This window comes from Homo sapiens, chromosome 12 (genome assembly GCF_000001405.40).
Source record: "Homo sapiens chromosome 12, GRCh38.p14 Primary Assembly".
NCBI lineage: Eukaryota > Metazoa > Chordata > Mammalia > Primates > Hominidae > Homo > Homo sapiens.
The window spans coordinates 48,829,117-48,852,913 of NC_000012.12; the positions used below are offsets into that span (position 1 = coordinate 48,829,117).

Sequence of the window (23,797 nt, forward strand, 5' to 3'; positions counted from 1 at the left end):
CATCCAGCAGCACGGAAGGGCTTGTCCTGGGATGTGGGGAAGACGCTTGGTCACGGCTTTACAGTATCCTTGCGCCAGGCCAAAAAGGCCCTAGAAGCAGCTACAACTTGAACTCTATGTACTAGGCCAACTCTTTCTGTGGGGTAAGAAGAGCATGTGAACAAGAGGGGTATGGGGGGAGGACTGCAGCCCTGCGTTCCTCTCACCACAGCCTGATACAGCTGGGTCCACCCGTTCTGCACCATCCCCTCCCAGGAGCAATGGGTCCAACTAGGGAGCCACAAGCAAAGCTCCCGAGACCAGGCGTTGGGCACACAGCGGCAGAGTGGTTCCAACTGCCTCACCTGCCAAAATTTCACAACTGCTTTCCTTTCTCACCTTTGCCTAAAGCTCCCTAGAGGGTGTCCAGGCCAGGGCCACACATTACGCGAGGCTAGAGCAGGGGCGGAAGATGCATTACAGTCCTGCGTGGCTTCTGCATCTCCTCTCAAGTCCACCTACAGACTCAAGACTATCAGCAGAGACCCCTCTACTCTTCTCTTAATGTGGCTGTCTCTCATTTTCCAAGCCAACCCACCCCGCACCCAGTGGTGTCCCTCCTGCCAGGGAGAAGCTGGGAAGTTTAACTAGAACTAGATCTAACAGTCTTAATATTCATGTATTTATTCTCAGAACATACAAACTTATCTTCTCAGAGAATAGAAAACAGAGATTTCACTCAGTGACAAAGATGGACACAGCCAGTTCACCGTGTCCCCCCATCTACTTAGAAAATCCCCTGGGGGAGGGGATGCCTAGAGCATACAGCACCCCTTGGTGCGGGGCTGTGCACAGGTCTAAAGACTCTCAACTTCCTTTACCATCCAAACAGGAAAACAGCTGTCCAGATGACAGTAAGATTCCACTGTCTGTAATCCTCATGGTGCCAGGTCTCCTGGGGCATCTAGGGCAATGATGCTACTGCAGTTTATGCAGTTACACAGTCAAGTCTGTGCCAAAGGAGGTCCCATCCGGCGGCCAGGTTTCTGTTCAGTCTGGGGAGCAATGCCAACTGGCTGCCCCCATAGCCTGGCATGAGCTGATGGCCCAGTGCAATCCCAAAGCAAAGAAGGGCAGAACTGGGCCAAGAAGCTGTGGTAATTTGCTCTCCCTGCCTCCGACAGCGTCGTCCTCTCCTTTTGCAGCCCCACACGCAGGCCTCCTGACCTGAGGGTCTGGGCTAGGGAGTTGGATTGTTTTCCTAAGCCCCCATATCCCAAGAGTGAGGACCTGGAAAGAGGGATGTGAGGGTTCTGAAAAACAGGCATCAGGCAGCTTTGGAGATGCCCTCAGCCCACAGGAAGAGTGCTGTGTCAGGCAAAGATGGTCTCTTCCCGGCGCTTCTTGGTGAGGATGGTGCCTGGCTTATGCTGGGCATCTGGGTGGTTGGCTAGTTCGGGGGGACAGGAAGACACTGGGCTTTCCAGGATAGCTTGCTTCAGCTCGTAGAACACAGCAGAGTCCTCTTTTGTGAGGAAGGTGATGGCCACCCCACTCTTGCCTGCTCGTCCCGTGCGGCCAATGCGGTGGATGTAATCTGGGGAATGGGAAGAACGTCACTCAGCATAGCCCAGATGCCCTGGGGAGCCGTGTCTGATGCCTCCACTTCTAGAGGCATCCTTCCCACCCCATCTCCAAAGGCAGGAATACAGCACATGCTGCCTGAACCTGAGGCGCCCACAGTGCCCTCTCCAGGTGCCCATCTCCCCTGTCCTCCTACTGACTGTGGTCCCTACCACACTAAGACCCACAGCTGCCTAGCTTCATTCTTCACACTCCTGAGGACACAAGTGTCATCCCAGCTGCTGGGACAACAAACCCAGGTAAGATAAAGGACAGGAGTGCTTCTCATGGGAGCAAGCAATCCCAGACTTGGAACTGAGGGAGGCAGTAACAGCCTTCCATGGACAGCACCCTGACTTCCAGTGGGACACCATAAGGAATCTGACTTCACCCTGGATTGAAGCTGCTTTCCCTGGAACTTACCTTCAATATTTTTGGCCATATCATAGTTGACAACCATAGACACATCTTGGATGTCAATACCACGACCAGCCACATCTGTAGCCACCAAAATATCCTTGGCCCCAGCCTTGAGGTTGGACAACGCAAACTCTCGCTGCTCCTGGCCTTTTCCACCGTGCAGTGTGCAAGCATTGTACTGTTGGAAGAATGGTGAAGTGAAGAGTGAGCAATGCAATCAAGGAGAGACACAGGAGTTCAGAGGAATGGGACACAGATGAAGGGAGGGTTGGAGAGAGCAGCAGAGTACGAGAAAGGAAAGGAAACAAGAGAATGATTGCAGTGAAAGAAGGAGAGAACAAGTGAGCTGAAGAGAGGGATGAGAGAAAAAGGTGTGGTGTGGCAGGGACACACAGAGTAAGGTCAAAGGCAAAACAGCTGGGAGAGCGGTGGAGCCAGACAGATGAAAAGTCCTCAAAGAGAATTAGGGGCGAGATCAGGGTAGAAAGCAGGGATCAAGAAGTTTAAGGAAGTTGGAGAGCTGAGTGACAGGGACACACCCCTCCCCTCAAGCACCAGTGACAGGAGTAAAGGACACTGATTATCAGCTCCCTTCTGACCATATCACCTCCTCTCAACGTACCTAAGCAGTTTTCACCTACTCTTTTCTACATCCTCAGACTGCCAGGATATGGGTCTCAAACCTTTCCCTGGCTCCACCTCACCAGGATGAAGACCCAAGGCAGCTTTGGCTGGCATTACTGCAGCAGACAGGGGGTCCCAGCAATTGATTCCATTCTCTTTATTCCCTCAAACCACCCTTCACCCTGGTCCTAACTTGTTGATTGCTGGACAGGCTAAAGAAAGGGTGAGACTTGAAAGGAAGAGCCTAGGGGGCCCTGCTAGATTCAGAAAGCAGTGCCACAGAGGCTAGACTTTGTTCTCCCCTGCCAGACACACCCCCATCTTCTCCAGGGATTTGGCCAACACGTCGCAGCCCTTCTTCTGGTTGACAAAAATAATGATGGGTGGGTCAAAGCCTTGCTCCAAGATTGCCAGCAGCTTTTTCCTGGAAGGAAGAGGAGAAAAACAAGATGCATAATACCTCCCACTCCAAGTGAAATGCCCAACCCTCATCTATGAACACTACTTTCAGGGTCTTTAATGCCCATGACATTCTGCCCAAGAAAACAGCAGCTCTTCAACACAGCAGAGCAATTGCCCTGCCCTGCACCTGCACTAAAAAAGTTCTCAGAGCCATTTTATTCTCCACCCTGTTTCCCCTGGCTCAGCTGCCCTCATACCTCTTTTCTGACTCTGACATGAGGAAGACCTTCTGTTCCACACGCTCATGGGGCTTGCCTGCGGAGCCAATGTACACCACAGCAGGTCGCCGAAGATAGCTCCTGGCCAGACGCTCCACCGCTGGGGGCATGGTGGCCGTGAACATGACTGTCTACGAAAACAGGAGGCTCAGCCCTGCACCCAGGCAGGAATAATCATATATCCCACTGTCACCGAAGGCAGGTCAGCCCAGACTAAAGAATCTAAAATGGGCCACAGTATAGGCTTTGATAGCCACCACCTTAGAAAATAGTGTCCTCTGAATTCCCATCCTTCCTGAGTACCTGCTCATCAAGGCACTTTCCATCTTATGATGACAGGAAGGATTGAGAGCATTTGCTAGCACCTGTGGTCCCGGTAGCAGCATGAGTCTTTGGAATCGTTTTTCCAGGGCTAAGCTAAATGGCTCCACCCTTAGGACTGTCAGAGGACTGTACCTAGGCACACTTCATTCTAGAAACATGTACTCTGAGCCCACCTAAGGCAAGAAAGGCCCAAAAGGAGGTTGGCAACCTTGTACAACTTTTCTTTTTTTTTGAGACAGGGCCTCACTCTGTTGCCCAGGATGGAATGGAGTAGTGGCACGACCTCAGCTCACTGCGACCACTGCCTCCCAGGCTTAAGAGGTCCTCCCACCTCAGCCTCCTGAGTGGCTGGCACCACAGGTGTGCACCACCAATGCCCAGCTAATTTTTTAAATTTTTGTAGAGACGGAGTTTCGCCATGTTGCCCAGGCTGGTCTCAAACTCCTGAGCTCAAGTGATCCACCCGCCTTGGCCTGTCCAACTTTTCCCAGCCCAGGGAAGCAGCCTTACTTGGCGGTACTTATGTTTTCCCGACTCAAAGTTGGCCAGCATCTTCTCAGGGTCCTCAGCCTCATCCGTGTCTGGCTTCTGGTTGCTGACAGGCATGTGCTCCAGGATCTTCTGGACATCTGGCTCAAAGCCCATGTCAATCATCCTATCTGCCTCATCCAGAACCACATAGGTACAGCGGCTCAGCACCAGGTAGCGGTTCTCCAGCACATCAATCAAACGCCCAGGGGTAGCAATCACAATCTGAGGAGTACAGTATAATCATTTATAGCCCAGCAGGTGCCCCTTCTTTTCTTTCCTGTGAACTATCCACCCACTTGGGTGACAGACCTCCAATGCTGAGGAACTTGGACCCCAACCTCTGGTTATGTTTAGCAGTAAAGGCTCCTGCAAACTGGCATGAAATCACTTGTTGCCTGGATTTTCTCAGGAATGAATGAGGTCTCTGAGTAAGGTGCAAGGATTAGACAGAGGAGGCAAAATCAGTAGAAACTTTTTTTTTTTTGGCAAATCATTTCAGATCCTGAAGAAGGAACTTCTTAGATGGGAGAGACTAAGGGGTACTATGAAGGGGGTTGTATAAAGACTAAATTTTTTTAAAAAATTGTAAAAAGACTAAATTTCTACAGCAGACTTCTCATAAAGAGCTCTCCTCCACTTTCCTGAGATGAAGGCAATGCACAAAGTCAAAGATTTGGTCTGGCAGAGTAAAGAGTAACTAAAAGCACAGGCTATGGATATGAGTCTCAGCTCTGCCCATTGCCAGCTGTTTGTGACTTCAGGCAGTTATTAACCTGAACCTCAGCTTGATCTATAACAAGGAAATACCACTCTCATACATTATTGTGAGAATTAATGAGCTAATATATATGATATATACTATTTGTGATATAAACCCTGGTGCATAAGTTCTCAATAAATAGCACATATATATAAACCAGCTCCTTTCTTCATACTACTGCACATATATTCCAGAAACTAGAAACAAAGCCCCAAGATAGCCTTCCCAGACAGCAGGCTGGCTGCTAGATAGAAAAACAAACCTCACAACCCATGCGCAGCCTGAAGCCCTGGTCTTCTCTGGAGATGCCACCAATGACAGCCACAGTGCGGATACCTAGCGGTTTCCCAAACTTGATGGTCTCTTCCTCAATCTGTTGAGCCAACTCACGGGTGGGAGCCAGGATGATGGCATAAGGGCCTTGGTCTGACTCTTCGATCCTGTGGTAAACAGGGTGCCCCACAGCTTCGTGAGCTTTGGTTCTTATCCAACCACAAGCCAGAGCAAGACAAAGTCACTCTTACGGGGAGCAATGGGAATGGGGAGGATGATGAGAAAAGAATGCAATGATCTCACTTAAAAATCAGAGGCCAGGGCTGGGCATGGTGGCTCATGTCTGTAATCCCAGAACTTTGGGAGGCTGAGGCAGGCGGATCACCTGAAGTCAGGAGTTTGAGACCAGCCTGGCCAACATGGTGAAACCCTGCCTCTAATAAAAATACAAAAATTAGCCAGGCGTGGTGGCCGGCGCCTGTAATACCAGCTACTCGGGAGGCTGAGGCAGAAGAATCGCTTGAACCCAGGAGACAGAGGTTGCAGTGAGCTGAGATCACGCCACTGCACTCCAGCCTGGGTGACAGAGACACTCTGTCTCCAAAAAAAATAAAAATAAAAATAAGTCCAGAGGCCAGGCAAGGTGGCACAAGCCTATAATCCGAGCACTTTCGGAGGCTGAGGTGAGTGAATCACTTGAGCCCAGGAGTTTGAGACCAGTCTAGGCAACATGGTAAAACCCTGTTTCTACAAAAAATACAAAAATTAGCTGGGCATGTTCGAACACACCTGTAATCCCAGCTACTTGGGAGGCTGAGGTAGGAGGATATGAGCCTGGGAGGCAACGGTTGCTGTAAGCCAAGATCACACCACTGCACTCCAGCCTAGACAATAGAGCGAGACTCCATCTCAAAAAATAAATAAATAAATAAATAATAAATACATAAAAATCAGAGATTCAGCCAGGTGCAGTGGTTCACGCCTGTAATCCCAGCACTTTGGGAGGCCAAGGCAGGCAGATCAGTTGAGATCGGGAGTTTGAGACCAGCCTGGCCAACATGGTGAAACCTCATCTCTACTAAAAATGTAAAAATTAAGGACAGGCACACTGGCTCACGCCTGTAATTCCAACACTTTGGGAGGCTGAGGCAGGCAGATCACTTGAGGTCAGGAGTTAGAGACCAGCCTGACCAACATTGAGACCCCGTCTCTACTAAAAATACAAAAAAATTAGCCGGGCATGGTGACGGGCACCTATAATCCCAGCTACTTGGGAGGCTGAGGGAGGAGAATCACTTGAACCTGGGAGGAGGAGGTTGCAGTGAGCCGAGATTGCGCCATTGCACTCCAGCCTGGGCAACAAGAGCGAAACTCCGTCTCAAAAAACAAAACAAAACAAAAAACCAAAAATTAGCTAGAAGTGGTGGCACACGCCTGTAATCCCCAGCTACTCAGGAGGATGAAGCAGGAGAATCACCTGAACCTGGGAGGCAAAAGTTGTAGTGAGCTGAGATCGTGCCACTGCACTCCAGCCTGGGTGACAGAGTGAGACTCTGCCTCAAAAAAATAAATAAAATAAATCAGAGACTCCAGGATAGCAAAGTTCTCCAGGTCTTTGCCAGCAACATATACTTCTTCGATATCATGATCCAATTATTCCCTAATATCCAACAAAGAATAAAGAAGAAAGCTTCTGATTATAGACGTAAAACAAAAATCAAACATTCATTTGCCACTTTCACCTTTCCTACCCAGACAAACCCACTCCAGCTGGTGCTAGCTGACCTCACCTGTCAATTTTGGGAAGTGTGGTGATCCAGACCAGCAGAGGGATGAGGAAGGCTGCTGTCTTGCCACTGCCAGTCTCAGCCACACCAATGATGTCACGATTCTGTAGCCCAATGGGAATTGCCTGACGCTGTATAGGTGTTGGTTCCTGCAGTGACCCCAAGAAAGAGTAATAGGTACAGGGAGAGTTATACCACCTGGGCAACCACTGATAGTAGTAAGCACATCTGCTAGCACAATGGAAGGATGCCAAGTACAGTTCACAGAAATAGGGACCCCAAGAAGAAACCTAATCACTAAAAGCCAACACTTCTACCAGAAAGTGACAGAAAAGGTCACATTGGTGCCCACTAGCAGCGATGGCTCCAAATAGTCAAGGAACAAAGTTCTCTATTCCCAAACTAGTGTAGGAACATGTCAGATCTCTTGGGCCAATCTATCCCTCCTTACCTTGTAGCCACACTTATCAATGACCTCCAAGATGTGTGGGGGCAGAGAAGAGTCTTTCCAGGATCGGATGGGATTGGGGATCTTGCCACCTTTGGTGGTGATGCTGTAGTCCTCACGGAAGATCCGCCAGTCCCTGTCCGTCATCTCATCTAACTTTTTCTGAGACCAATGACGATCATCCCAGCGCTGCTTGGCTTCCTTCTTACGAAGTTTGCGGAGTCTTGCCCTGGAGCAGGGTGTGAGGAGTAAGTAGAATCAGTGCCCTCCAACTCCTTTCTGTAGAGCCTCTGGGCTCTGTCCAGCCACCCTAGCCTTGATCACTCACTCCTCCTGCTCCTTTTCTTCCAGGGTTCGCCTCTTCTCCATTAGGTCTCCATAGAAACGTGACTGCTCTCGCTTCTGCTGCTTGAGGTCAATGCCTGCAATGAAGCCTCGCCCTAACAACTGCACCTGGTGCCGTTCTTTGTACCTGGGATTGAGATAGAGGAAAAGAAAAAAGAAGGAGCTGTTAACGGCAGTAGGAAGGAAGGGCAGACTACTAGTATGAAACAGTTCTTCCCAGACAGGGTCTTTCTTCCACCAGAGGGCTGGCTGACTACCAGTCTACCAATTTTCCATCCCAGCTTATCTTACTTCCTCCACCTCCGTAGTCATCAGCTCTCTAGGACTGCCTAGTGGAAAAGACCTAGAACTCAGGCCTGAAGCCACTCACAGGGGGTTGTAGTCAATGGATGTGTCCTCAGATGCATCCCACTCAAAAACAAATTTCCGGTCATTGAGATGTCTCGTTCGGCGCCGCTTTTTGATGCCACCCAGGTAACGCTCCTACCCAGGGACAGAACACAAAGCACATGAGCTTTGAGGCCCAATTCTCACATGCAGAGATCACAATGGCCAAATAACTAAACCTCATTTTTGTGTGGGAGAGAAGTGAAGATGGAGCCAAGGCCTGCACCTTAATGGCATGCAGTTCCTTGCTCTTATCCTTCTCTTCCCGGATCTTCTGCCGCCCTTCCTCATCCTCATTTCCATTGGTCTCCCGTTCCATCCTCTCCCTGCGTTCCCGACGTTCCCGTTCCTGAGGATCTTCTGCAGACCAAAGAAAGCAAAGCTGCAGAAGAGCTCATGGAAGAAAAGAGGAGAGGGAATGGAGGGAATCCAGACGAGGAACCCCAAATGAAGAAAAAAAGGGGTAGACTTATGATATGGGGTAAATGGAGATCTAACAGAAAAATGTTTTCTCATAAACTCCCACCATCCTTCCCCTTTCCAAACTCCAGAGTGAACAGGTTTCTATCTCTCCTAAGAGACACTGTATCTCATCCCACTCTTTCCTCTTCCATCTAGGGGCTACACAGGGTAGAATAACAAACCCAACATCTTCCTGCCCAAGTCTTGGAACTGTTTCCTTTTCTTCCTCTCTTCTTCAAGCATCCTCTGCCGCTCTTCCACCTCCTGCTGCCGTCGCTTTAGAGCTTCAGCCTCTCGTTCTGCTTTAGAGAGGAACTTGGGCTACAAAAGAGATTGGAACTGTCAACAAAGGATCTGGGAGCAGGGTACAATCACATCACTGATGGGGAGATGGCAGGGAACCCAAAAGTATTTGCTCAGGCATTAAGCCTGTTGAGGAAAACACAAATAGGCCTTGGACTCGGTTATGGACTGAACTATGTCCCCTACAGAATTCATATGTTTTTTCAGGCTGGACGTGGTGGCACATGCCTGTAATCCCAGTGTTTTATGAGACCTAGATGGGAGGACCGCTTGAGGCCATGAGTTCAAGACCAGCCTGGGCAACATAGCAGACCTTGTTTCTACAAAAATAAAAAAACTCAGCCAGACATGATGGCATGTGCATATAGTCCCAGCTACTCAGGAGGCTGAGGCAGGAAAATCATATGAGCCCAGGAGTTTGAGGTTACAGTGAGCTGTGATTGCACCACTGTACTTTAGCCTGGGCAAACGAGCAAGACCTTACCTTTAAAAAAAAAAAAAAAATGTGGCCGAGTGCGGTGGCTTGTGCCTGTAATCCTAGCACTTTGGGAGGCCGAGATGGGCGGATCACGAGGTCAGGAGTTCAAGACAAGCCTGGCCAGCACAGTGAAACCCTATCTCTACTAAAAAAATACAAAAAATTAGCCAGGCATGGTGGCACGTGCCTGTAATCCCAGCTACTCAGGAGGCTGAGGCAGGAGAATTGCTTGAACCTGGGAGGCAGAGGTTGCAGTGAGCCGAGATCATGCCACTGCACTCCAGCCTGGGCAACGGGGCGAGACTCCATCTCAAACAAACAAACAAACAATGCATGTGTTATATATATTTTTTGAGACAGACTCTCGCTCTGTTGCCCAAGCTGCAGTACAGTGGTGTCATCATGGCTCACTGCAGCTTCAACCTCCTGGGCTCAAGCAATATCCTTGCCTCAGCCTCCTGAGTAGCTGGGACTACAGGCGCATGCTACCACAGATGGCTAATTTTTAAAATTTTATAGAGATGGGTTTTCACCATGTTGCCTAGGCTGGTCTAAAAATCCCTGGCTCAAGTGATCCTCCCATCTTGGCCTTCCAAAGTATTGGGATTACAGGTGTGAGCCACTGTACCCAGCTCAAAATTCCTATGTGGAAGCCCTAACTCCTAGTACCTCAGAATTTGACTATATGTGGAGACAGGACATGTAAAGAGGTGATTAAGTTAAAATGAGCCCATTAGGCTGGGCACAGTGGCTCACGCCTGTAATCCCAGCACTTTGTGAGGCCAAGGAGGGCAGATCACTTGAGCCCAGGGGTTCGAGACCAGCCTGGACAACGTGGTGAAATCTGGACTCTACAAAAAATACAAAAATTAGCTGGACGTTGTGGCACGCACCTGTAGTCCCAGATACTTGGGAGGCTGAGGTGGGAGGATTGCTTCAGCCTGGGAGGTGGAGGTTGAAGTGAGCCGATATCATGCCACTGTACTCCATCCTGGGCGACAGAGTGAGACTCTGTCTCAAAAAAAAAAAAAAAAAAAAAAAAAAGGGCCTTTTAGGGTGAGCCCTAATCCAACACAAGGGGTACATGTGTACAGAGGGAGGACCATGTGAAGAGCTGAGGAAGAAGACAGCCTTATAAGCCAAGGAGAGAGACCTCAGAAGAAATAACCCTGCTGACACTCCGCTCTCAGACTTCCAGCCTCCAGAACTGTGAGAAAATTAACTTCTGTCGTTGAAGTCACCCAGTCTGTGGTATTGTGTTATGGCAGCCTGAGCCGATGAATGAAGACCCTCAAGTACTTACCTTAGCCTCAGCTTCTTCCTCAGCCTTTTTCTTGGCCAGAAGCTCCTCCAGGGATAATGGCTGGGCCTGAAGATAAAACAGAACTTTAGTCTATAAAGGCTCTCTCCCTTTAAAGATCAACAAAGCAACGCACGAGTTGAAGATGAAAAATATCCTTCCTCTCCTTTACCTTAGGCTTCTTATCACCATGTTCATCCTCTTCATCCTTCTTAGAGTCTCTGTCCTTCCGAGATTTAAAGTCTTTTCCTCGACCAGGAGATAAGCTTTGAGGAAAAGGAACAAGGTCCACATCACTCTTACTTCAGTGCCTGGATGAGGTTCAAGTTGAGCCCCGAAAAGAGAATGGAAGTTTCCCCATGACTCAACAAGACTGGCCCATGGTCATCTATCATGTCTTGAAACTCTCTTAGCAGGCATGGTCATTCTGCCAGCTCTGAAACCTAATTATGGCCCTGTCTTGGCCCCTTTCTACCCAAATCTCCTTTTGAGACTAATCTCTTTTGGGAAGTGGGACTTTACTACTGATGTCAAAAATATTTCCCCTAGGCCAGGCGCGGTGTCTCATGCCTATAATCCCAGCACTTTGGGAGGCTAAGACAGGTGGGTTACCTGAGGTCAGGAGTTCAAGACCAGCCTGGCCAACATGGCAAAACCCTGTCTCTAGTAAAAACACAAAAATTAGCCAGGTGTGGTTGTTTAGAGAAAAATTTTTTTTTTTTTTTTTTTTGAGACACAGTCTCACTCTGTCGCCCAGGCTGGAGTGCAATGGTGTGATCTCAGCTCACTGCAACCTCCGCCTCCTGGGTTCAAGAAATTTTCCTGCCTCAGCCTCCTGAGTAGCTGGGACTACAGGCGAGTACTGCCACCACTGGCTAATTTTTATATTTTTAGTAGAGACGAGGTTTCATCATGTTGGCCAGGCTGGTCTCGAACTCTTGACCTCAGGTGATACATCCACCTCGGCCACCCAAAGTGCTAGGATTACAGGTGTGAGCCACAGCGCCTGGCCCTCCTTAACTCTTTAATATACAATGAATTTAGCCTACATGGCCACCACCACAAGCCAAGAAGATACTGCTATCTATATTCCCTCATCATTTTTCATTCCTATCAATCCCAACAATCCTTTCCCCATACCTGCTCTAAGCTTAATCTACAAGATAATTCAAACAACCCCACTGAGTTTCTGTTAGGAGCATTCTGTCCTCTGCCTTGAATTCTAACCTATACTTTCAGGGCCTGATAAGAACTCTGTATACAGGCCAGGCACAATGGCTCACGCCTGTAATCCCAGCACTTTGAGAGGCCGAGGTGGCCGGATCACCTAAGGTCAAGAGTTCGAGACCAGCCTGGCCAACATGGAGAAACCCTGTCTCTACTAAAAATACAAAAATTAGCCAGGCATGGTGGCGCATGCCTGTATTCCCAGCTACTTGGGAGGCTGAGGCAGGAAAATTGCCTGAACCCAAGAGGCAGAGGTTGCAGTGAGCCGAGATCGTGCCATTGCACTCCAGCCTGGGCAACAGAACAAAAACTCCATCTCAAAAAAACCCCCAAAGATTCAGAGAAGAATCCATAGATAGAAAAGCTTCAGGCTCCCTCTCCCCTCTCCCCTCTCCCCACGGTCTCCCTCTCCCTCTCTTTCCATGGTCTCCCTCTGATGCTGAGCCAAAGCTGGACCGTACTGCTGCCATCTCGGCTCACTGCAACCTCCCTGCCTGATTCTCGTGCCTCAGCCTGCCGAGTGCCTGCGATTGCAGGCGTGCGCCGCCACGCCTGACTGGTTTTCGTATTTTTTTGGTGGAGACGGGGTTTCGCTGTGTTGGCCGGGCTGGTCTCCAGCTCCTGACCGCGAGTGATCCGCCAGCCTCGGCCTCCCGAGGTGCCGGGATGGCACACGGAGTCGCGTTCACTCAGTGCTCAATGGTGCCCAGGCTGGAGTGCAGTGGCGTGATCTTGGCTCGCTACAACCTCCACCTCCCAGCTGCCTGCCTTGGCCCCCCAAAGTGCCGAGATTGCAGCCTCTGCCCGGCCGCCATCCCATCTAGGAAGTGAGGAGCGTCTCTGCCAGGCCGCCCATCGTCTGAGATGTGGGGAGCGCCTCTGCCCTGCCGCCCCGTCTGGGATGTGAGGAGCGTCTCTGCCCGGCCGCCCCGTCTGAGAAGTGAGGAGACCCTCTGCCTGACAACCGCCCCGTCTGAGAAGTGAGGAGCCCCTCCGCCCGGCAGCCACATCGTCTGAGAAGTGAGGAGCCCCTCCGCCTGGCAGCCACCCCGTCTGGGAAGTGAGGAGCGTCTCCGCCCGGCAGCCACCCCGTCCGGGAGGGAGGTGGGGGGGGTTAGCTCCCCACCCGGCCAGCCGCCCCGTCCAGGAGGGAGGTGGGGGGGTCATCCCCCCACCCGGCCAGCCGCCCATCCGGGAGGGAGGTGGGGGGGTCAGCCCCCGGCCCGGCCAGCCGCCCTGTCCGGGAGGTGAGGGGCGCCTCTGCCCGGCCGCCCCTACTGGGAAGTGAGGAGCCTCTCTGCCCAGTCAGCCGCCCCGTCCGGGAAGGAGGTGGGGGAGGTCAGCCCCCCGCCCGGCCAGCCGCCCCATCCGGGAGGGAGGTAGGGGGGTCAGCCCCCCGCCCGGCCAGCCACCCCGTCCGGGAGGAAGGTGGGGGGGTCAGCCCCCCGCCCGGCCAGCCGCCCCGTCCGGGAGGGAGGTGGGGGGGTCAGCCCCCCGCCCGGCCAGCCGCCCCGTCCAGGAGGTGAGGGGCGCCTCTGCCCGGCCGCCCCTACTGGGAAGTGAGGAGCCCCTCTGCCCGGCCAGCCGCCCCGTCCGGGAGGGAGGTGGGGGGGTCAGCCCCCCGCCCGGCCAGCCGCCCCGTCCAGGAGGTGAGGGGCGCCTCTGCCCGGCCGCCCCTACTGGGAAGTGAGGAGCCCCTCTGCCCGCCCACCACCCCGTCTGGGAGGTGTACTCAACAGCTCATTGAGAACGGACCATGATGACAGTGGCGGTTTTGTGGAATAGAAAGGCGGGAAAGGTGGGGAAAAGATTGAGAAATCGGATGGTTGCCGTGTCTGTGTAGAAAGAGGTAGACATGGGAGACTTTTCATTTTGTTCTGTACTAAGAAAAATTCTTCTGCCTTGGGATCCTGTTGATCTGTGACCTTACCCCCAACCCTGTGCTCTCTGAAACATGTGCTGTGTCCACTCAGGGTTGAATGGATTAAGGGTGGTGCAAGATGTGCTTTGTTAAACAGATGCTTGAAGGCAGCATGCTCGTTAAGAGTCATCACCACTCCCTAATCTCAAGTACCCAGGGACACAAACACTGCGGAAGGCCGCAGGGTCCTCTGCCTAGGAAAACCAGAGACCTTTGTTCACTTGTTTATCTGCTGACCTTCCCTCCACTATTGTCCTGTGACCCTGCCAAATCCCCCTCTGCAAGAAACACCCAAGAATGATCAATTAAAAAAAAAAAAACCCAAAAAAAACAAAATCTGGTGGCAGATGCCTGTAGTCCAGCTACTCAGGAGGCTGAGGTGGGTGGATCACCTAAGCCTGGGGGAGTCAAGGCTGCAGTAAGTTGTGATCACACCACTGCACTCCAGCCTGGGCAAAAGAGACCCTGCCTCAAAAAAATAAATAAAAATAAATAAGAAAGAGAGCTCTGTAATAACTACCAACAGAATCTGTTAAGAGAAATCTACTTTCTTTCTTTCTTTTTTTTTTTTTTTTTTTGAGACAGAGTCTTGCTCTGTCGCCCAGGCTGGAGTGCAGTGGCGTGATCTCGACTCACTGCAGGCTCCGCCTCCCGGGTTCACGCCATTCTCCTACCTCAGCCTCCTGAGTAGCTGGGACTACAGGCACCCGCCACCACGCCCGGCTAATTTTTTGTATATTTAGTAGAGACGGGGTTTCACCATGTTAGCCAGGATGGTCTCGATCTCCTGACTTCGTGATCCACCAGCCTCAGCCTCCCAAAGTGCTGGGATTACAGGCGTGAGCCACCACGCCTGGCGAGAAATCTACTTTCATAAGAAGCTGAGCAAACTCAGGTGCAGAGAAGAAATGGGAGCATTCCCCTAAAGCCCCCTCTCATTCCTTCATGTACCTGGATCGTTTACGGTCCTTGTCCCGTCTGTGCCCATCCTTGTCTCGATCTCGGTCCTTCTTATTCCGATCCCGCTCCTTATCTCGTTCTCGTTCTTTGTGCCGTCGTTCTCTGGAAGACCGCAAATTTAAGAGTTCACTTGGTATTTCCAAAGTATCTTGCTTCACTGCAGCCCTGAGAAAGTTCCTATACTCTCGTCCCAAAGTAATGTTTTACAAATTAGAGAATGTATCTCTCACGGAAATAACGAGGGAATTCTAAGAAGCTTTTATAGATCAGAGATGTACTGTTAAATATTAACGGCAATGACAGGTCACGGACTATGTGAACAGATGAACCTTCCTTTTTTATTTTTTTGAGATGGAGTCTCACTCTCACGCCCAGGCTGGAGTGCAGTGGTGTGATCTCGGCTCACTGCAGCCTCTGCCTCCCGAGTTCAAGGAATTGTCATGCCTCAGCCTCCCGAGTAGCTGGGATTACAGATGTGCACCACCATGCCTGGCTAATTTTTGTATTTTTAGTAGAGACGGGGTTTTGCCATGTTGGCCAGGCTGCTCTCAAACTCCTCACCTCAAGTAATCCACCTACCTCGGCCTCCCAAAGTGCTGGGATTATAGGTATGAGCCACCGCGCCCGGCCACAGATGAACCTTCCTTGATAACCCGGACCTTCACCTTACTAGTTCCCTCTCAACTTTTTTTTTTTTTATTTTTAGTAGAGATCAGGTATCACTGTGTTAGCCAGGATGGTCTCGATCTCCTGACCTCGTGATCCACCTGCCTCGGCCTCCCAAAGTGCTGGGATTACAGGCGTGAACCAACCGCGCCCGGCCCCCTCTCAACTTTTAAGAGTTGGGTCACTGAGGAAAACTGAAAACACCTGCAGGTCCAACTGGGCTAGGAGTAGATTAATGTACAAAAAGTAGATGCCTAGCCGGGCGTGGTGGCTCACGCCCGTAATCCCAGCACTTTGGGAAGCTGAGGTGGGTGGATCACCTGAGGTCGGAAGATTGAGATCAGCCTGACCAACGTGGAGAAACCCCGTCTCTACTAAAAGTACAAAATTAGCCAGGTGTGGTGGCACATGCCTGTAATCCCAGCTATTCGGGAGGCTGAGGCAGGAGAATTGCTTGAACCTGGGAGGCAGAGGTTGCAGTGAGCCGAGATCGTGCCATTGCACTCCAGCCTGGGAAACAAGAGTGAAACTCCATCTTTTAAAAAAAAAAAAAAAAAGGCCAGGCGCGGTGGCTCACGCCTATAATCTCAGCACTTGGGGAGGCTGAAGCAGGCAGATCACGTCAGGAGATCGAGACCATCCTGGCTAACACGGTGAAACCTCATCTCTACTAAAAATACAAAAACATTAGCCGGGCATGGTGTCGGGCGCCTGTAGTCCCAGCTACGCACTCAGGAGGCAGAGGCAGGAGAATGGCGTGAACCTGCGAGGCGGAGCTTGCAGTGAGCTGAGATCGCACCACTGCACTCCAGTCTGGGTAACAAACAGAGCGAGACTCTGTCTCAAAAAATAAAAATAAAAAGTAGATGCCTAATACTGGAGGCATCAGAAGAACCAAGAAGGAAGAAATCTGAAACGTACTCTCCCTTCCCATGTAATAACATACAAAGTTACTTTACCTTTCTGCAGATTTGGAACGGGAACGAGAGCGAGAACGGCTGCCTCCTCGACGTCTATCCCTTGAACGATGCCGCTTTCTATCTTTAGATGGGGAAGACTTCCGGTCCCGGTCTCTATCCCGCTCTCTGTCAGGAGTCCGTGATCGCTTCCTTTCCTCCTTGGAAGGTGATGCATCACGGTCCTTTTTGTCAGCCAGCTCTCCTGCCATCTGTAATGAGTAGGAAGAGTACTTACAATGTACTAGGCACTGCTCTAAACTGCTTATATATAATTCAATTACCCTCAAAACAACCCTATGAGGTGGATATATTAGTATGTCTACCGTACAGATGAGAACGGTGGAGCTCAGGTATATAAAGGAACTTGTCTGAGGGCAGACAGGTAGTGGCAGAGTTGCAGGCAGTCTGGCTCCACAGGCCATCGTTACTCACTATATTGTCTCCCTGTAATTCCTTTCAGAGTCTCACTCTGTCACCCAGGCTGGAGTGCAGTGGTGCAATCATAGGTCACTGCAGCTTCAACTTCCTGGGCTCAAGCCATCCTCCTGCCTTGCCTAGCTAATTTATTTTTTTTATAGACAGGGTCTCACTATGCTGCCCAGGCTGGTCTTAAATTCCTGACCTCAAGCAATCCTCCTGCCTCAGCCTCTAAAAGGCTGAGATTACAGGCGTGAGCCACAGTGCCTGGTCGATTCCTTTTTATATATTCATTTCTAAATATGTACAGTGAATATACCATGTTTTTGTAATTAGACTACAAAAGAGTATTAAAAGAAGTGTTAGTGTATGAACAGTGTACCAACTATTTCTAGAAACATCCTATATTGCTTACTTTGAAGTTTATTAGGTCTGCCAACCCACTAGGATCAGTTAGCACTCATACGTCTGAGAGAGATAAATTTTCTTGAGCTCATAAAGAAAGCTCAATGGAGAAAAAAGTTTAACTTTGAGATCTGGATTACGTTATAATTAGCACCACAAGGAAAACCTGAATTTAAGTGGAGAAACACACTTTTACTCAGATTAAAAGAAATGTACCTCTAATTATGCAATGGGAAGAACTTGGTGAAGGGTACACAGAACCTCTATACACATTTTTTAACTTCCTGTGAAACTATAATTATTTCAAAGATATATATTTTAAATACCCAAAACTAGAGGTTGCAGAAGTCCTGATTGACATTCCCTATTCAGATTTTCACAACCTTGGTCATCTGCATAACCCAGTTTTGTGAAAGGTTTCAGCAGGAATTTTTTCTGTCTCCCTCCTACCTGGGAGACACCGAACACCACTCCCACACTGTCAACTCTTCTTTGGGCTATGAACTCTAGTTCAGCCAGGAGCTAAAACTGCAGCAAGCCTGAATCTGCAACCACCTCATCATCATCCCAAAGACTTGGGATACATTTCTCGCAACTTATTTTATCCCCAAATGGTTCAGCTCGAATGGTTCCTTAAGCTTTAGCTTACAAGCCCCTTTCTCATGCCATTCCCTGCCATATATCCTTAAGAAAGATTGTATAAAGATGAGAAAAGAAAAATGAACAAGAAGCACTTTCAAAAGGTGAGGACAACCCATTTTATCTCACAATCACCTGAGAAATGACTGATTGTTCTGTATCAGTACATCATGGCTATCACACAGAAATACCTATGTCTTGGGCTGGGCATGGTGGCTCACCGTGTAATCCTAGCACTTTTGGAGGCCAAAGCGGGCAGATCATGAGGTCAGGAGATTGAGACCATCCTGGCCAACACGGTGAAACCCCATCTCTACTAAAAATACAAAAATTAGCCAGGCATGGTGGCACGTGCCTGTAGTCCCAGCTACTCAGGAGGCTGACGCAGGAGAATCACTTGAACCCAGGAGGCGGAGGTTGCAGTGAGCCAAGATCATACCACTGCACTCCAGCCTGGCAGCAGAGCGTGATCCGTTTCAAAAAAAAAAAAAAAGAAAGAAATACCTATGTCTTGACTGGGTGTGGTGGCTCATGCCTGTAATCTCAGCACTTTGGGAGGCTGAGGTGGGTGGATCGCTTGTCCAGGAGTTCGAGACCAACCTGGGCAATATGGCAAAAACCCATCTCTACTAAAAATATAAAAAATTAGCCACGCATGGTGGTACACGCTACCCAGGAGGCTGAGGTGGAAGGACTGCTTGAGCCCGGGAGGCAGAGGCTGCAGTAAGCCGAGATTGTGCCACTGCACCCCAGTCTGGGTGACAGGGCAAAACCCTGTCACACACCAAAAAATAAAAAATAAAAAAAACACTTACAGCCCTAAGAAAACAATCCCAAAGGAAGGCTATTTTCTCTGTACAGCATCCTGGATTTCATTCATTCTTTCAACAAATATTCACCGAGCACCTACAAGGTGCCAGAAATTGTTGTAGGTAACGGAGACAAAGCAGTAAAGAAAACAAAGTCTCATGCTGGGCGTGGTGGCTCACGCCTATAATCCCAGCACTTTGGGAGGCTGAGGCGGGCAGATCAAGAGGTCAGGAGATCAAGACCATCCTGGCTAACAGGGTGAAACCCCGTCTCCACTAAAAATACAAAAAAATTAGCCGGGCGTGGTGGTGGGCGCCTGTAGTCCCACCTACTCGGGAGGCTGAGGCAGGAGAATGGCGTGAACCCGGGAGGCAGAGCTTGCAGTGAGCCGAGATCATGCCACTGCACTCCAGCCTGGGTGACAGAGTGAGACTCCGTCTCAAAAACAAAACAAAACAAAAAACAAAAAAAAAAAGAAAACAAAGTCTCCTACTTCATAAAGCTTAAATTCTAGTGTAGCGGAAAGGATTTTAAATAGTAATGAATGCTAATGAAGAAAATAAAACAGTGATATGATGGGTAGGGGTATAACAAGAGATAGATGGCTCAGGGAAGAAGTTTTAGTTGACATTTAAGCTGAGACTTGAATGATGGGAAAGAGGGCCATGAAAAGATCAGGGTAAAAAACCCTTGTTAGATACAAGAAATGTGAACTAGCTTAGCATGTTTGTCAGGTTTGTTTTGTTGTTGTTGTTGTTGAGACAGGGTCTCACCCTCTCACGCAAGATGGAGGGCAGTGGCACAATCACGGCACACTGCAGCCTTGACTTCCCAGGCTCAAGCGATCCTCCTGCCTAGGCCTCCCAAGTAGCTGGGACTATAGGCGCATGCCACCACACCTGACTAATTTTTTTTTTTTTTTTTTGAGATGGAGTCTTGCTCTGTCGCCCAGGCTGGAGTGCAATGGCATGATCTTGGCTCACTACAACCTCCACCTCCCAGGTTCAAGTGATTCTCCTGCCTCAGCCTCCTGAGTAGTTGGGATTACAGGCGCGTGCCACACCACGCCTGGCTAATTTTTGTATTTTTAGTAGAGGCGGGGTTTCACCATGTTGGCCAGGCTGGTCTCAAACTCCTGACCTCAGGTGATCCGCCCTGAGTGCCCAAAGTGCTGGGATAACAAGCATGAGCCACCATGCCCGGCCCCAACTAATTCTTAAAATTTTTATTAGAGACAAGGTCTCAATTTGTTGCCCAGGCTAGTCTTGAACTCCTGGGCTCAAGGGATCCTTCGGCCTCAGCCTCCCAAAGTGCTGGTATTACAGGTGTGAGCCCAACTACACGTTTGTCAGTTAAAAACATATTTGTTTGGCCAGGCCTGGTGGCTCATGCCTGTAGTACCAGCACCTTGGGAGGCCAAGGCGGGAGGATCACTTAAGCCCAGGAGTTCGAGACCAGCCAGGGTAATATAGCAAGACTTCCCGTCTATTTTGAACAATAAAATTTTACATTTATAAACAGTTAAAAATCAGCCGGAGGCCAGGAGCAGTGGCTCACGCCTGTAATCCCAGCACTTTGGGAGGCTGAGATAGGCAGATCATGAGGTCAGGAGTTCGAGACCAGCCTGGCCAACAGGGTGAAACCCCGTCTCTACTAAAAATACAAAAATTAGCCAGGCGTGATGTCAGGCATCTGTAATCCCAGATACTCGGAAGGCTGAGGCAGAACTGCTTGAACCCAGGAGGTGCGGGTTGTTGTGAGCCGAGATAGTGCCACTGCACTAGCCTGGGTGACAGAGCAAGACTCCCTCTGTCTCGAGAGAAAAAAAAAAAAAAATCAGCCAGGTGTGGTGGTTCACACTTGTAATCCTAGCACTTTGGGAGGCTAGGGTGGGTGGAATGCCTGAGCTCAAAAGTGCTCAAGAGCTCATAGGCAGAGGCCTGGGAGGAAAATATCGTCCAGGAACACGGCTTGTGCCCCCAGGAGCCAATACTACCTATGGGGCCCATGCCCCTTCGCTCCTGCCTGGGGAGGATCACCTGAGCCCAGGCTGAGGTGGAAAGACTTCTTGACCCTGGGAAGCACTAATGCAGGAGGAATACTGATTCAGGATGAGTTCAGTGAGCTGGGCAGGAGTCAGATAATGAAAATGTGTTACAGGTCAGAGTAGAGTTAACTTGGATTTTAACTGCAATGGGGATCTTAGAAGAGCTTTAAACAGGAAGCAATCTAATACTTTGGTGACTTGCAAGAAAATATATAGCAGAGAGACAGAGTGAAAACACAACCACTGAGAGTGCTATTATGGTACTCTAGGCAAGAGATGGCAGTGGCTTGTTCTAGGAACGTGGCGATGGAGATGGAAAGAAGTAGGCAGCGTCAGAGTATATTTTGGAGGCAAAGCTAACAGGACTTACTAAGGAAGAAGCAGAAAGAGCAGACACAAAGATAGCTCCTAAATTTATAGTTTCAGCAACCTAATAGTTTGTGGTGCCATAGCAAACAAACTGGAGAAGACTAGGGAACGAACAGATTTAAGAGGAAATCAAACGTTTCATTTTGGCCAGGTTGAGTGTGAGAATATCTGTGGAGATTCCCAGAAGGCAAAGAGAAATGCAAATCTGAACTTAGGGGAGAGGGTCTGTAGACAAAAACTTGAGTCACCAATACACAGATAGCTTTTAAAGCCATGGGACACTAAATGATATTACCTAAGTAGGCAGCATAGTGAAAGAAAAAAAATAGAGAAGAAGCTCCAGAATTGAGCTCTGGAACACTTTAACAGGAGTTAGCCACGGGATGAACCAGAGAAAAAGACTGAAAAGAACTAGCAGCCAGTGAGAAAAGACAAAGAAAAGCATGGCAACGAAGAAGCCAAAAACATGTTTCAAGGAGGGAGGGGTCAACTGTGTCAAGTACCACCGAAGTGGAGAGGGAATAAGGGACAGGGAAGTAACCACTGAATTTGGAAAAATGGAGATTATTGGTGACCTTGACAAGAGCTGTTTCAGTTGCATTGCGGGAATGGAAGCCTGAGTGGAATGAGTTTGGAAGAGAATGAAAAATGAGAAGAAGACAGTAAATACAGGCAACTTTTATTACAGGTTCTATTATCACAAGGGCCAAATAACCAGGCTGACTCTGGCCATGCTTCCCAGCAGCCTTCCTCTCAAACCTCCAGATCTTCAGGTCCTCAGTTCTTGCAGGGCAGGGGCACATTCTTTTTTTTCACTCAATGACGTATTTAACAAGCATCTACTGTACGCAAGGCACAGTGCTAGGTGCTATGTGAGTTACAAAAATAAATTCTGTTCACAGGAAGTGTTTAGAACAACAGGGTTATGAGGTCGGACGCGGTGGCTCACGCATGTAATCCTAACACTTTAAGAGGCCGAGACAGGTGGATTGCCTGAGCTCAGGAGTTCGAGACCAGCCTGGGGAACACGGTGAAACCCCGTCTCTACTAAAAATACAAAAAATTAGCCGGGCGTGGCGGCGTGCGCCTGTAATCACAGCTACTCGGGAGGCTGAGACAGGAGAATCGCTTGAACCCGGGAGGCGGAGGTTGCAGAGAACCAAGATCGTGCCATTGCACTCCAGCCTAGGCGACAGAGCGAGACTCCGTCTCAAAAAAAAAAAGAAAAGAAAAGAAAAAAAAGAACAATAGGGGGTATGAGACACATACCAAGAAGAGTATCAAGGCTCAGATGTAGTAATACAGGTGTTCAAAGGCGTTTCCTTTCACTTGTAAAAGGTGATGTGGAAGGCTTGGAAGAGGAAGTGACGCTTGAGCTTTTAAGTATAAGTAGAATTTTAAGATATGTAATTAAGGACGCGGAAAAGAAGTCATTCCCGGCAAAAGAAATAATACGGCCGGCGCAGAGGCGGGAAAACATGGACTGACTGCGAGAGAAAAGCCAGAGTTCCAGTTTGGCTGCACCAAAGGCTACTTTAAGCATGAAAGAATAAGGTCAGACTGGGGGTATCAGAGGCGCTGTGCCCATAGGCAGAGTCCTGGGAGGAAAATATCGTGCAGGGACGTGGCCTGTGCCCGGAGGAGCCAACACTACCCCTGGGGCCCGCGCCCCTTCACTCCAGCCCGCCCGAGCTTCCCGGGTTCATGCCCCTTCTCTGAGGCGTTCTTTCCCGCCTCATCCAGGAGGCAGGGGCCACCGCCGTGCCCTGACTCTAGCCCTTTCTGTAAGCTCGTGGGAACCGCCTCCACCGCCCGGGACTCACCACCCTGAGTCTGAACCGCCCAACGCGGCCTCAACGTCGCGGAGCCGTCGCCATCTTTCCCGTTTCCTGGTCGCGGAGATGAACACCCCCCACCCCCCCGGCCGCGAGGCAAGCTGGGAAGGCGAGTTCCTGGAGCTGGGCGGCACAGGCCGACACTGAGGCCTGGAAACTACCAATCCCAGAATGCATGACTTGAGCGCCGGCCCCAGGCTGCGGGGTCTGCCGGGCAATGTGGTTTGCCAGACGTTAGCGTCCGGGAAGGAAGAGTTTTTCGCCAATAGGCTTTCGGCATTAGGTTCTCCCGCCGAGCACCCTTCTTGGAATCGGCTGGTCTTCCTAGAAACTACGGTCTATGACTGTCCTTGCCCGTGGCTTACAGTGGAGGAATTTAAGGGCTTCCTGAGATATCTGTAGTACGTAATTATAGCTAACAACCGCAGTAACAATAAATACCATTCGTGGAAAAGCGGTTTTTATAATAATTCTGTGAGAATGGGGCTAGCCCCATTTTACAGTTGGACAAACTAAAGATCAGGTTACCGGAGTAGGTTCACAAGGAGGGTGATGCAGTTCTCCATTGTGTGTGGAACTATCCCAGGCTTAGGAGGACGTTTTAGCAACCTTGGCCCCTGCAGCCGGGTGAATGCCATAACAACCCCCAGTTATTGTTACAGCTCCAAATGAGCCCACACAATGGGCTCTAAAGTCCTCCCGGAAGGATGGTATCTCCTGGGCTCTAGCACCTGTTTTCTCAACATTCCAGATGGAACCCTGGTTTCCTCAATTTCTTGCCCTTTGGAATGTGACCAATTGTTGAGCTATCTTGGTAT

General features: G+C 49.8%; 1 protein-coding gene and 1 long non-coding RNA gene across 2 annotated transcripts, besides 1 other annotated feature; one reads left to right on the forward strand and one right to left on the reverse strand.

Moving 5' to 3' along the window:
* On the reverse strand, positions 640–23,047 carry DDX23 (DEAD-box helicase 23). Its single transcript, NM_004818.3, has 17 exons — positions 22,968–23,047; positions 16,458–16,666; positions 14,824–14,934; positions 10,897–10,990; positions 10,728–10,793; positions 8,826–8,964; positions 8,408–8,541; positions 8,165–8,277; positions 7,778–7,921; positions 7,453–7,678; positions 7,005–7,150; positions 5,204–5,381; positions 4,161–4,403; positions 3,306–3,457; positions 2,962–3,070; positions 2,026–2,200; positions 640–1,576 (listed from the first exon to the last, which is right to left on the reverse strand). The coding sequence occupies exons 2-17, from the start codon at positions 16,664–16,666 to the stop codon at positions 1,353–1,355; spliced, it is 2,463 nt and encodes an 820-aa protein (NP_004809.2). The 5' UTR covers positions 22,968–23,047; the 3' UTR covers positions 640–1,352.
* On the forward strand, positions 22,605–23,433 carry LOC105369755 (uncharacterized). The gene is made up of 2 exons (XR_944925.3): positions 22,605–22,698; positions 22,934–23,433. It is a non-coding gene; the product is annotated as an uncharacterized LOC105369755 (long non-coding RNA).
* Positions 22,903–23,092: an enhancer, noted in NCBI's record as "active region_6289". NCBI's record gives its function as "activates an Ori minimal core promoter by ATAC-STARR-seq in GM12878 lymphoblastoid cells {active_cell/tissue: GM12878}" and the evidence as "EXISTENCE:reporter gene assay evidence [ECO:0000049][PMID:35858748]".
* Positions 23,434–23,797: the final 364 nt, after the last annotated feature.